Source organism: Homo sapiens, chromosome 17 (genome assembly GCF_000001405.40).
Source record: "Homo sapiens chromosome 17, GRCh38.p14 Primary Assembly".
In the NCBI taxonomy this organism is placed as follows: Eukaryota; Metazoa; Chordata; class Mammalia; order Primates; family Hominidae; genus Homo; species Homo sapiens.
Window position 1 is genome coordinate 82,031,196 of NC_000017.11, and position 12,422 is coordinate 82,043,617.

At 59.4% G+C, this 12,422-nt stretch overlaps 2 protein-coding genes and 1 long non-coding RNA gene across 6 annotated transcripts, besides 4 other annotated features; 2 read left to right on the forward strand and 1 right to left on the reverse strand.

Moving 5' to 3' along the window:
• Positions 9 to 118: a silencer, noted in NCBI's record as "silent region_9181". NCBI's record gives its function as "represses an Ori minimal core promoter by ATAC-STARR-seq in GM12878 lymphoblastoid cells {active_cell/tissue: GM12878}" and the evidence as "EXISTENCE:reporter gene assay evidence [ECO:0000049][PMID:35858748]".
• Positions 479 to 558: a silencer, noted in NCBI's record as "silent region_9182". NCBI's record gives its function as "represses an Ori minimal core promoter by ATAC-STARR-seq in GM12878 lymphoblastoid cells {active_cell/tissue: GM12878}" and the evidence as "EXISTENCE:reporter gene assay evidence [ECO:0000049][PMID:35858748]".
• Positions 483 to 3,009, forward strand: RAC3 (Rac family small GTPase 3). 2 transcript variants are annotated; one of them, NM_001316307.2, is made up of 6 exons: positions 483 to 601; positions 1,192 to 1,263; positions 1,516 to 1,633; positions 1,752 to 1,814; positions 2,245 to 2,408; positions 2,504 to 3,009. In NM_001316307.2, the coding sequence occupies exons 1-6, from the start codon at positions 567 to 569 to the stop codon at positions 2,562 to 2,564; spliced, it is 513 nt and encodes a 170-aa protein (NP_001303236.1). In that variant the 5' UTR covers positions 483 to 566; the 3' UTR covers positions 2,565 to 3,009. The 2 variants fall into 2 exon arrangements, with proteins under 2 accessions (NP_001303236.1, NP_005043.1); NM_005052.3 differs by having other exon boundaries at positions 2,245 to 2,404.
• Positions 759 to 918: a silencer, noted in NCBI's record as "silent region_9183". NCBI's record gives its function as "represses an Ori minimal core promoter by ATAC-STARR-seq in GM12878 lymphoblastoid cells {active_cell/tissue: GM12878}" and the evidence as "EXISTENCE:reporter gene assay evidence [ECO:0000049][PMID:35858748]".
• Positions 4,663 to 6,502, reverse strand: DCXR (dicarbonyl and L-xylulose reductase). Of its 2 annotated transcripts, none has more exons than NM_016286.4 (8): positions 6,436 to 6,502; positions 6,255 to 6,352; positions 5,664 to 5,818; positions 5,526 to 5,568; positions 5,349 to 5,448; positions 5,189 to 5,253; positions 4,996 to 5,113; positions 4,663 to 4,868 (listed from the first exon to the last, which is right to left on the reverse strand). In NM_016286.4, the coding sequence occupies exons 1-8, from the start codon at positions 6,485 to 6,487 to the stop codon at positions 4,765 to 4,767; spliced, it is 735 nt and encodes a 244-aa protein (NP_057370.1). In that variant the 5' UTR covers positions 6,488 to 6,502; the 3' UTR covers positions 4,663 to 4,764. The 2 variants fall into 2 exon arrangements, with proteins under 2 accessions (NP_057370.1, NP_001182147.1); NM_001195218.1 differs by having other exon boundaries at positions 4,686 to 4,868; positions 6,255 to 6,346.
• Positions 5,893 to 6,722: a silencer, noted in NCBI's record as "silent region_9184". NCBI's record gives its function as "represses an Ori minimal core promoter by ATAC-STARR-seq in GM12878 lymphoblastoid cells {active_cell/tissue: GM12878}" and the evidence as "EXISTENCE:reporter gene assay evidence [ECO:0000049][PMID:35858748]".
• DCXR-DT (DCXR divergent transcript) lies at positions 6,723 to 8,185 on the forward strand. 2 transcript variants are annotated; one of them, NR_159947.1, is made up of 2 exons: positions 6,723 to 7,218; positions 7,986 to 8,185. It is a non-coding gene; the product is annotated as a DCXR divergent transcript (long non-coding RNA). The 2 variants fall into 2 exon arrangements; NR_159948.1 differs by having other exon boundaries at positions 6,723 to 7,073.

The following is a 12,422-nucleotide window of genomic DNA, read 5'->3' on the forward strand; positions in this document are numbered from 1 at the left end:
CTCTCCAAACGCGCGGCCCTCTGCCCCCAGCCCTGCAGGGAGGGCCTGCCGGGGTGCGGCTGTTCGCCCCTCCTCGCCGCTGCCTTGAAGGGACGGGAGGGCCGCGGGGGCTGTCCGTCTGGGGGTTCGGGCGGCTGCAGACCCCGGAGTTCCCAGCTGGCTCCCGGCGGCAGGGGGCGGGTCCCCGAGAAAGCGCAGCGCGCGGAGCCCTCCCCGCCGGGTCCAGGTCGCTGGGCTCTCTCCGGCCTGCGCTGCGCCCCGAGGGACCCGTAGGAGACCCCCGGGCCGGGGTCGCGCTGGAGGCGGGGGCGCCGCAGCTCGCGCAGCTCTGCCCGGGTTCGGGCGGCCCCGCCCCGCCAGCCGCGCGGCCGGGCGCCCCCCGCCCGCCCCCGCCCCCGCCCCCCGCCCCCCGCCGGCCGCGCTCGGCTGTCTCCGCGCCCGGCGCTCGGCGGCGCTCGGCTGTCTCCGGCCGATCGCTCGGCGCTCGGGTCCGCGGCCGCTGCGGCGCCGGGCATTTCTCCGCAGCTCGGCTCGCGGCCGCGCCCGCCGCCGCCCGGCCCGCGCCCATGCAGGCCATCAAGTGCGTGGTGGTCGGCGACGGGTGAGTGCGCGGCCCGGAGGCCGCTTGGCTGGGCTGGGCGGGAGGGGGGCTCGGGGGCTCGGGGCGCAGCCGGGGCGGGGCGGGGGTGGCGCCCGGGTCCTCGCGAGGCGGCCCCGCCGTACCCCGCCCGAGCCGCGTGCGCCCCGGGGTCGAGGAGGGCGGGGTGGGGCGGGGCGGGGTCCGCGGGCCTCCAGCTCGGGCCCACCTGATGCTGCCCGGCTCCCGCTTGGGCTGGCTGCGGGCGAGGCGGGGCCGCCGCCCTGTCCTCCCAGTGGGTGGGGCCAGGCCTCTCACCTGGGCTGAACCCTCAGCCGGCCCCACCCTCTCCTGCCGCCACCCTCGGAGTCGGGGCCTCTGCCTGGGGCCCCAGTGTGGGGCGCCCTGCGCCCTTATTCACCACCCCAGCCCCCGGAGCCCGGCCTGCCCAGGTCGTCCTCCAGCCTTAGGTCGCCACGGATCTGGTGGGCTGGGTCCCCCTCTCGACCCCAGACGCCCCTAACTCGCCTCTGGCTCCGGGAGAGGGGGCTGCCCTTGCTGGGCAGAGGGTCCGAGGCCGGGCCCGGGAGCCACGTGGCTTGCCCTGTCCGCAGCGCCGTGGGGAAGACATGCTTGCTGATCAGCTACACGACCAACGCCTTCCCCGGAGAGTACATCCCCACCGTGTGAGTGTGGGGGCTTCCCGGGAGAGCACAGGCCCTCCGTGTGAGTGTGGCATGGGGGGGACACGGGCAGGGTCTCCTCTGGGCTTCCACGTCGGCTCAGGTGGCCCTGTCTCTGGGCTTCCCGGCTGGAGCTGAGGTGCTGGCCAGAGTTCTAGTTCTGTGCAGACTTGTGAACCCCAAGACACAGGCCAGCAGGGCTGGGGGTTTCTGGGACCCCTCCCAAGCCCTGACCCTGCCCTCACTGCTCTGCAGTTTTGACAACTACTCTGCCAACGTGATGGTGGACGGGAAACCAGTCAACTTGGGGCTGTGGGACACAGCGGGTCAGGAGGACTACGATCGGCTGCGGCCACTCTCCTACCCCCAAACTGTACGTAACAATGGGGCCAGCCCCGGGAGCTGGGGGGGTCCCTGAGATCCGCACAAGGGAGGGAGCAGGGCCCTGGGGAGCCCCTGACCACTCCACCAGGTCCCACCTTTTTCCCAAGGACGTCTTTCTGATCTGCTTCTCTCTGGTGAGCCCGGCCTCCTTCGAGAATGTTCGTGCCAAGGTAGGGCAAGGCTGGGGGCCCCTGTGGGGAGAGGGCTTGCCCCAGTACCTGCCCCGACAAGTTGTCCTTTAGAGGCAATTGCGATACGGGTTCTGCCTGGGGTAGGCACACGGAGTGGGGTCTGAAGATGACCATGGGGGCTGATGGGGTGCCGTGGTGGTGGTCACAGCTCTCAGAATGGAGGGTTCTGAGGGCTCTGGCTGCTGGGGATGGGCCTTGACTAGGAGGCCCTGGGAGGTCTCCAGGTTCCCTGGCTGCGTGTTTGTTCCTGGTATCTCCCCACCAAATCCGCCCCTGGTCACCCCTTGAAGGAAGAAGAGCCAAGTGTAGCTCTGGAACAGTGGGGAAAGTCCCTGAGGGCCGTGACTTGCTCAGGTGGGGCTGGGGTAGCCGACTCCGGGCCTAGGGATCAGAGCGTCTGTCCCTGCAGTGGTACCCGGAGGTGCGGCACCACTGCCCCCACACGCCCATCCTCCTGGTGGGCACCAAGCTGGACCTCCGCGACGACAAGGACACCATTGAGCGGCTGCGGGACAAGAAGCTGGCACCCATCACCTACCCACAGGGCCTGGCCATGGCCCGGGAGATTGGTGGGTAGGCGCTGGCGGCCTGCAGGGGAGGGGTGGGGAGGCGCAGTAAGGGCCTCCCTGTACCCCACCCTCACTGTCTCCCCTCCTCACTGCCGCTAGGCTCTGTGAAATACCTGGAGTGCTCAGCCCTGACCCAGCGGGGCCTGAAGACAGTGTTTGACGAGGCGATCCGCGCGGTGCTCTGCCCGCCCCCAGTGAAGAAGCCGGGGAAGAAGTGCACCGTCTTCTAGAGCCCTGGCCCACCCGAGCCTGAGGGCTGGCGGGGAGCAGCCCTGGACGTGTCCGCTGTTGTGTTGAGACGTGTGGTGTCCCTGAGTCGGCTGTGGGGAGCGGTGGGGGTGGGCCGGGGGGAAGCATGGGGATGAGGCTGGGTGGCAGGATCCTGTCCTCTCTGCCGCCTCATTCTGGGGTGTGGCTCCAGCCTTCCCTGGCCCCCGCCGGAGGCCGGGAGGGAGCAGGGTCTCCCTCAGGGCTGCAGGGGCAGGTGCAGGGAAGCCCCAGGATGGGCTTCCCTGGAGGGGGAGGGTGGGGGGGAGTTCTGTTCCTTGTGCCCCGAGGTGGGGCAGCCCCTTCTCATTTTATACAATAAACATTCTCCACCTACACCTCTTGCCTCTCACTACCTGCCCTTCTGTCCTGGGGCGGTTTGCTCCTAATTCCCCTCTGTGATGGTGCAGAGCGGGTCCATCACACCCCAGCCGACCCCAGCCGCACTTCAGAGCTGAGTTCCCAAAGGCAGCACTAAGCTTCCTCCACCCTACCCCAGGGGAAGAGGGGGCCTGCTGAGCTGCTCAGCCCCCCAAAGGAGCCGACCCAGATCAAAGCAATAGCTAGTGCATTGAGCCCTAGGGATGATTACTTGGCTGTGTACAAGGCCTCCCTCAGGCTGATTTGTGCCTCTGGGAGGGCACATGTCAGGGAGGGGTGGGGAGAGGCGGGCCAGTTCTCAGGCAGCGCCTGTTGTGCTGACCGGGAAGGTCTGAAAAGAGGCTGAAGCAGGTCAGGCCTCTCTGAGCCTCGTGGGAGCCGAGGCAGGCTCCCCGCATCCCTCAACTCCTCTGGCTGGCACCGGGAGTAAGGGCAATCCAGGCAGAGGGGCAGGGTGGAGGAGGGCGCGGGGGTCGGGGTGTGGTGTGGAGAGTGAAGAGAGCAGTGACCCAGCACAGTCCGCTGACGCTGAAGCCAGAATCAGTGGGCCCGGAGCCATGGTCCCGGGATTGGAGTCACTCGGGATTGGAGGGTGCCATGAGGTCCCGGGATTGGAGTCACTCGGGATTGGAGGGTGCCATGAGGTCCCGGGATTGGAGTCACTCGGGATTGGAAGGTGCCATGAGGTTCCAGGATTGGAGTCACTCGGGGTTGGAGGGAGCCATGGTCCCGGGATTAGAGTCACTCGGGATTGGGGGGTGCCATGAGGGCCACTGTCTGCTTCCGCCTTGTGCTGTGTGGGGGCAGCTCCTACTGGCTCAGGAAAGCCAACTGCTGAATTCTCAACAATTTTGCTAGCCAGTTGTTAATGATCATTAACAAATTATAGAAGCTTACAATTTGTGTTATTAAAAGCAAAATCGGCAAACGTCACTTCCTACTTATTTCTGCATACACGACTGTTTTCTCTGCCCCTCGGTTATGTACATCTGTGGGACCTATGGACACAAACACCACATAACAGGGTGCTGAGGGCATCTCCTCCAGCTCCACGTTAAATGACATCTAACTGGTAGCTTGAAATCAGCCGTGGTGGGAGGAGGCTTGACTTATGGTTACTTGTCTAGACTTCAGATGATAAAATGCAGATTAGACTTCAGGGTGCTGTGTCTATGCTCATTACATTGTGAATAGCACAAGTTGAGGAAACGCTCTTCTAGTTTCCGAAAACCATCATCTGATTCAACAAAGTGGCTCAGATCACCGACGAAGTGGAGAAGCTTGACGTTCTCCTTGTTTCCCTTTTGTCTTACTCATTAGCTTGAAGGAAGAGGAGCCAACTGTACACTCACAGAGGGGGCCATCAACACTCACATGCACACACCGTCTCACCCCAGAGGTTCTGGACAGGCCCGAAGGCCAACCTTGCTGAAATTCACCACCCTCTTTGGGAGGTGACCTTTCACCACCTCCCACCTCCCTGACAGAGAACTGGCCAGGCCTGAAAACCTCAGGAGTGGGAGCCACGCTCCCCCTTGGATTGGAATGTGAATGTCATGGGTCTCTGCCCGCGTTCCACACCTGGCCCCAAGCCCCCAGCTACCTGCTGGCAGCCTAGGAATAGCACATAGTCTGGGCAGCAGAATCAGGTTTATTGGAGGGATTGGGGGTAGGATGAGCACGGCATGGGGCTTGAGGTGTGTGGAGGGAGCTCAGCAGGCCCAGAAGCCCCCTTCCACCGGCAAAGTGGAACCCGTGGTCATGCCACTTCGGTCACTCAGCAGAAAGAGGATGGCGTTCACCACGTGCTCTACCTCTGTGGGCAGGGCGGGGGTCAGGGGCATAGAGGAAGGAGGCTGCCGCCCATCTTTCCCTCCCACCCCTACCCAGGGCACACACAGGGACTGCTGGCACCACGCTGGCTGGGCTCCCACCTGACTCACCAGCAAACTTGCCAAGTGGGATTCGGTTCAGCATAGTCTTGGCCTTGTGGGGGTCACTCCAGGTGGCCTGGCCCATGGACGTCATCACCACTGTGGGGTTTACTGCATTCACTCGGATCTACACCGGGACAGCTGGGGTCAGCAGGGCAAGTGGGGTGTCCTAGGTTGGGGGAGGTACCCCAGCCCTGCTCACCTTGTGGGGCCCGAGCTCTAGGGCCATCACCTTGGTCAGCATGTCCAGGGCACCCTTGGTGGAGCCTACGAAGAGGAACCCAAGCTGGCTGGGGCTGGGGTCGGTGATGAGGGCGAGGCTGGGGCTGGGGTGGGGCTGAGGGCACAGCTGGGGCACTCACAGTAGACGCTATGGTTAGTTACTGCCCGCTGGGAGCACTGGCTGGAGACATTCACGATGGCCCCTGGGACTCCCCGGGCTATTAAGCCCCTGGCCACAATCTGGAATCGCAGCGAGACCGTGAGGCAGAGCTGGCATCACTCACGAGAATTCCCGTCCAGCCCACAGGGCAGCTCACCTGCGACACCTGGATGACCGCACGCAGGTTCACCTCAAAGGATCTAGAGGCCGAGGGACAGACCCTGGTCAGAGATTAGGGCTGCTGCGTCCTCCAGGACAGCCCCTCCCTGAGGTTCCTCCGCCCTCACAGGCTCACCTGTCAAAGGCCTCCTTGGTGACCTCCAGGAAGGGCTGCAGCAGGGCGACAGCGGCGTTGTTCACCAGCAGGTCCACGGGGCCCACGCTGCCCAGCGCCCGCTCGGTGGCCTCCCAGTCACCCAGGTCCACGCACACGGGTTCTATCCCCGGGCACTGTGTGTATCAGGGGGCAGTTACCAGAGGCTCTGTGCCCAGCAAGCGGCACAGCTGGGGACTGGGGCTGGTGACCTTTCAGCCGGACAAGTAAAGGAGTTAGGAGTTCCGAAGGTGTCGGGACTGTGGGGCCAGCAGCCGGGCGCTACCTCCGGCCGGTTCACTTCCTCCCTGCGCCCGAGCGACTCCTGCCCGGGGCCTGCTTCGCAGCCATTTCGGCCTCTTTCTGAGCCCGGGGGCCCCGGCGGCTCTGCCGACCACCCGGCCGCCCACGCAGGCCACCAGCCCCGAGAGAGGGTGCGCGGGCGCCCAGGCCGCGGTGAGAAGCGCAGCGCCCGCGAGGGGAGGCGGAGTCGCGCACAGAGGTACCGCCCCCGCTCGCTGCCGCCCCCTCCTGGCTCGCCGCCTCGCAGCGCTGGGACCCGGCGGGACCTACCTCGCGGACAAGGCTGTCAAGATCCGCCTGAGTCCGGCTCACAGCCACCACCCGCGCGCCCGTCGCGTGCAGCGCCTGGACCGTGCCGCGCCCTATACCTGCCGGGAGCGGGCTCAGTGAAGGCGTCCCCTGCCCGCCTCTGCCCGCCGCCGGCCTTTGCCCACCTTTCCCCGCCGCCCACCTTTGCCTGCCCCGGTGACCAGCACCCGGCGGCCCGCGAGGAACAGCTCCATGTCGGCGCAGTCTCCGCCCTCCGCACTGGGGCTGCGGAACTTGAAGCTCTGGCCACGATGGGCGGGGCGCGGCGGGGCCAATGGCAGGGCGGCCTTCAGATAGGCGGTGGGGACATTCAAATAGCTGCTCCCCGCTGCAGTGATTGGCCGAAAGGAGTGGGCGCGCCGGGGCGGGGCGGGGTCTCCGCTGCCTCAGGGACGGGTCTTTTGAAGTGCCTGGTGTGACCCATCTTCCGTGCTTGAAATCGACGTAGTGGACCCTGGCTAGCATATTTTTCCCTGCCAAGATTATTGCAAAAAGACGATGTGGTGGTTAATATCGGAAAGAATGTGTGGTTAATATCAGGAAGAACACGTGAAATGGAGAATTTCAGGGCTAACATTTCTTGTTTTGTTTCTGAAAACATCGGCATGTCCTAAAAAGTGTCGCCTGTGCCCATCATCTCTCAGGCTTGGGAGCAGGACACCGCCGGCTCACTTTAAAGCCAAGGGAAAGAATTTGGACAACCAACTACGTCTGGAGAAGACACCAATGTCAGCAGAGCTCCGCTTTCATCTGTGGGCGAAGGATTACCTAGATGCCAAGGCAAGAGACTGAAGACACAAACTGTTTCAGTATAACAAAGAAAATAGGCCGGGAGCGGTGGCTCACGCCTGTAATCCCAGCACTTTGGGAGGCCGAGGCGGGTGGATCACGAGGTCAGGAGATCGAGACCATCCTGGCTAACACGGTGAAACCCCATCTCTACTAAAAATACAAAAAATTAGCCGGGCGCGGTGGCGGGCACCTGTAGTCCCAGCTACTCAGGAGGCTGAGGCAGGAGAATGGCGCGAACCCAGGAGGCGGAGCTTGCAGTGAGCCGAGATTGCGCCACTGCACTCCAGCCTGGGCGACAGAGCAAGACTCCATCTTTAAAAAAAAAACAGTTAAAATAAAAATAGTCATAATACAAATTAGATATAAAAATGATCATGATCATGGATAATTATCAATCATTAGTATAAACATTATTAATCATTAGCTTTTAATATTACTCTTTGTTGCATTACTAATATAACCTAGGGACATTGTGAGAAGTGACCTAGAAGGCAAGAGGTGAGCCCTCTGTCACTCCCGCATAAGGGCTGCTTGAGGGCTCCTTGGTCAAGCAGTAATGCCGTTGTCTGGGAAGCCACCCGTTACTTAGAAGACTGCGAAGGGGAGTCTCCTTTCCTTGGAGGCGTCAGGGAACACTCTGCTCCACCAGCTTCTTGTGGGAGGCTGGATGTTATCCAGGCCTGCCCGCAGTCATCCGGAGGCCTAACCCCCTCCCTGTGGTGCTATGATTTAATGGTCACATTTCTTGTCCACTTCCATGTTCCTCCCGTACTCCTGGTTCCTCTTTGAAGTTCGTAGTAGATAGCAGTAGAAGAAATAGTGAAAGTCTTAAAGTCTTTGATCTTTCTTATAAGTACATAGAAGAAAGCGCTGATGTATGGTCTTCTCTTTCTGTTTCAGCTACCTAAAAGGGAAGCGCCCCCTGTCCTATGATCACGTGACTTGCTTCACCTTGTCAATCACTTGGAAGATTCACCCTCCTTACCCTGCCCTCCTTGTCTTGTATGCAATAAATATCAGTGCGCCCAGCCATTCGGGGCCACTACTGGTCTCCGTGTCTTGATGGTAGTGGTCCCCCGGGCCCAGCTGTTCTCTCTTTATCTCTTTGTCTTGTGTCTTTATTTCTCACAATCTCGTGTCTCCGCACACGGGGAGAAGACCTGCTAAGCCCCATAGGGCTGTACCCTACATTCATCTGAAAGGGACTTGAACCCCAGGTCACCTTGGACAGCCAGCATCCGGCCAGGGGCACCTTTTAGAAGTTGAATAGGATAGGAAGGGATTGGGGTCATGGAAGTACATGGTGGTCCAGCAAAGACCAGCATTGCTTCCCGAGGCTTTGGGGTCAGTTACAGATGCGTGTGTGTGTGCACCCACACACTGGGCCTCCATGTAAAAGCTACTTTGTTCTGTGGGTCATGGTAGGAAAGTCTAGAACTACTGCCCTTCTGTGGCCAGGAGTGACCTTCTGTGGCCAGGAGTATGGAATTGGTGACTGTAGGGCCTTTGGATCATCTGGGGCTTTGGGCCCACAGAGGTGGACAGGCCGGAGGCAAGGGTGGCCAGGCACAGCAGGAGGCAAGGTCCTGGTTTGTTCTGGAGGACAGCCAAGTGCATGGTCCATATCAGACCTGGCACTGCGGCCAGTCCAACCCCCCCTTGGCCGCCCTGTAAACTCTGCTTTCTGCCCCTACCCTTGGAGCCTGCTTTCTGCCTGCCAGCAGCCAAGGGAAGGACACCCCTCAACCTGTCCTTCCTGGAAGGCCCATCTGCTTAGACCCCTCCAGCGGCCTGCACGTGCCCCCAGGAGAGTGGACCAGGCCTCACTGGTCCTGTTATCCGTGGCTCAAGCCCTGCTCCCTGTGAGTCCTGCTGGCTGGTCAGAAGCACCCTCGGCATCCCCTACCCCCACCCTGTGCCCTGTGCCCTCCCAACCACTGCCTGGAGGGCCCGATCCTGGCCCCTAGCCCTCTGCCCTCTTGCCCAGCTTTGGAAGATTCCCAAGGTCTGGGTAAAGTTACCAGTATCCAGATTCCTTCTCGAGCTCGAACCAACATTACACTTTTCCTAGAGTCAAAACGGGAGTTAACACAAGTATATAAATGACAATTAATACATTGGATAGTTTGATTGTTCGTCCAAATTTTGATATTCCCCACTAACAGCATATAACGAAGCTTAACACAACTCTATAGGAATAGTCACATTGGAGGTGAACAAAGCAGAATGTCTGAATCTACACTGATACTGAGGGAGAGGAGCAGTGGTGGCCACACCCGATGTTATCCGCTGTCAAAAAGCAATTTGAAGGGCCGGGCGCGGTAGCTCACCCCTGTAATCCCAGCACTTTGGGAGGCTGAGGCGGGTGGATCACGAGGTCAGGAGATCGAGACCATCCTGACTAACACGGTGAAACCCCGTCTCTACTAAAGGTACAAAAAATTAGCCGGGCGTGGTGGCGGGCGCCTGTAGTCCCAGCTACTCGGGAGGCTGGGGCAGGAGAATGGCGTGAACCCGGGAGGCGGAGCTTGCAGTGAGCCGAGATCGCACCACTGCACTCCAGCCTGGGCGACAGAGCGAGACTCCGTCTCAAAAAAAAAAAAAAAAAAAAAAGCAATTTGAGGTGCCCGGGGATGCTGAAGAGGTAGAGTGGCATACCTGGGTTGAGAAAAATTATCGTAATGCCAATTGGAGTCCCATAAAAGAGGACTGGCATCAAAAAGAGGAAAAGGGTTCAAAGGAGATTTATCATGGGGTTCAGAATCACGGACGCGAGGGGCGGTAGCAGGGACAACAGACAGAAAAGTTTCCCCTTCCCATACTCGCAGTCTGGATGTGGCAAGAGCCAATTTTCAAAGTTCTGGGTGTTCTGAGCTCAGAATGGGGAGTATCACACGAGCCCTCGGGGGACAATGTCCTTATTTTCCCATTTTAAGGGAAAGAAAGAGCTGAACCTCCTATACAAAGTAAAATGATGATCCTCGTTCTTCCAATAAGAAATAAAACAAGTAGCCTCCAGGCATTCCCTCCCGCCACAGGAGCAATTGTTTTTTAAATAGCCCTTTGGTACCCAGTCTATTACTAAACCATATGAGTCAGTTTTGGTTTTTTTTTTTGAGTCGAACAAGCATTTCTGTGAACCGGACCGATGAACGTTTCTACACAACTACCAAAGGGAAGCGGGTCCCCACATGCACTCAGGAAAAAGAAAAGCCACGTTGGCGCGCCAGATATCGGGGGAACCAGCCCCCAGTATTTCAATGTAGGTTCTTTCTATTTTCCATAAGTGTTGGCTGGCTGAGAAATGAAGAGAAAGAGTACAAAGAGAGGACTTTTACAGCTGGGCCTCCCAGGGCGACATCACATATCGGTGGGACCCTGATGCCCGCCTGAGCCGCAAAACCAGCAGGTTTTTATTAAGGATTTTGAAAGGGGAGGGGGTGCAAGAACAGGGAGTAGGTCACAGAGATCACATGCTTCAAAGGGCAAAAAGGAGAACAAAGGCACTTCAGGAGGCCAAGGCCAGTGGATCACCTGAGGTGAGGAGTTTGAGACCAGCCTGGCCAGCGTGGTGAAACTCCGTCTCTACTAAAAATACAAAAATCAGCTGGATGTGGTGGCACGTGCCTGTAATCCCAGCTACTCAGGCAGCTGAGTCAAGAGAATGATTTGAACCTGGGAGGCGGAGGTTGCAGTGAGCCAAGATCGCACCATTGCACTCCAGCCTGGGTGACCAGAGTGAAACTCCGTCTCAAAAAAAAATAAAAAATAAAAAGTTTTAAAAAAATTTTTTTAAAATAAGGCTGGGCGCGGTGGCTCATGCCTGTAATCCCAGCACTTTGGGAGGCCGAGGCGGGCGGATCACGAGGTCAGGAGATCGAGACCATCCTGACTAACACAGTGAAACCCCGTCTCTACTAAAAATACAAAAAATTAGCTGGGCCTGTTGGTGGGTGCCTGTAGTCCCAGCTACTTGGGAGGCTGAGGCAGGAGAATGGCGTGAACCTGGGAGGCGGAGCTTGGAGCGAGCCGAGATCCCGCCACTGCCCTCCAGCCTGGGTGATAGAGCGAGACGCCATCTCAAAAAAAAAAAAAAAAAAAAAAGACTGAGCCCTCAGAGACACAGCTGCAGTGAAACCATTAAATGGAGGCCAGTAGCATGTGAACCACACAGGCAGGGCCAGAGGGAGCACAGGGGGCTTCCTGGAGAGGTGGGAGGAAGGCATGACTGAGAGAGAGCACGGGGGACCCTGGGAGGGAGAGGCCACCTGTTCCTGGCCTCATGTCTGTGTGCACACACGCAGAGGCACATGCCAATGTGAGCACAAGCACTTGGGCATACACACAGGGACACACACAGGCACACATGGGCATAGACACACATGAGCATTCACACGGGGACACAGGCATACACGGGTGTAGGCACACATGAGCATGCACATGGGGACACACACAGACACACACGGGTGTAGACACATCAGCATGCACATGGGGACACAGGCACACACAGATGTAGACACACACATCAGCATGCACACGGGGACACAGGCACACACAGGTGTAGACACACATGAGCATGCACACGGGGACATGTGTGTGCACCCGGGGACACATGCATGCCATGGCACAGCAGCCACACAGGACACACACACACACACGCACACACGGGCATGCACACGTGAGCACACATGGCAATGCATGGACCAGGCAGCCACACAAGTGCACACATGGAGCATATGTGAACATGCAGGCCTGAGCATGGGGGTGCATGCACTGCAGCTGACAGGCCCACAGACATGCGTGTATACACATATGTATCCACACCCCCCACAGGCATGCACAAGTGAATATGTGTGTAGACACACAGTCGCACACGGACACACACGCTCTGGTCCATGGTGGCAAAGAGGACCCTGGAAATCAGCAGCTTCGGCTTCGATGTTGCTCTCTGTGAGGATCCCTGCTAGGAGTCAGGGTTGGCCAGGACCCTGTCCCTGGGCTCAAGTCCTCCTGCAGGAGAGCCACCCTCAGGAGGGGACAGACCCTGGTGCTCCCTGAAGCTGGGCCATGAGGCTGAGCTTGGGGGAGAGCAGGTGAAGGCGGCCAACGTGGTTACAGGTCTTGGGTGGCTGCTGGCCTTCCTGGCTGAGCCAGGTTTGCACCTGGTGCTGGGAGCTGGGCCTGAGCCTTGAGCTCTGGAAAGCAACCATAGGTGGGGGCTGGGGAAAGGCTCCCGCTCCAGGAGGAAAGCCAAGGGCTCCCTAAGGCCATATTGATTCTTCTGGACAATGAGGGGGTCAAAAAGACCTAAGAACCCCCAGCTCCCATCTTCCACGG

Coding starts and splice junctions, on each gene's coding strand:
- RAC3 (NM_005052.3), top strand. CDS start 567: ATGCAGGCCATCAAGTGCGTGGTGGTCGGCGACGG. Junction 1,634..1,751: donor CACTCTCCTACCCCCAAACT/GTACGTAACAAT, acceptor CTTTTTCCCAAG/GACGTCTTTCTGATCTGCTT. Junction 1,815..2,244: donor TCGAGAATGTTCGTGCCAAG/GTAGGGCAAGGC, acceptor CTGTCCCTGCAG/TGGTACCCGGAGGTGCGGCA.
- DCXR (NM_016286.4), bottom strand. CDS start 6,487: ATGGAGCTGTTCCTCGCGGGCCGCCGGGTGCTGGTCACCGGGGCAGGC. Junction 6,353..6,435: donor GGTCACCGGGGCAGGCAAAG/GTGGGCGGCGGG, acceptor CGCTCCCGGCAG/GTATAGGGCGCGGCACGGTC. Junction 5,449..5,525: donor CGGTCATCCAGGTGTCGCAG/GTGAGCTGCCCT, acceptor CTGCGATTCCAG/ATTGTGGCCAGGGGCTTAAT.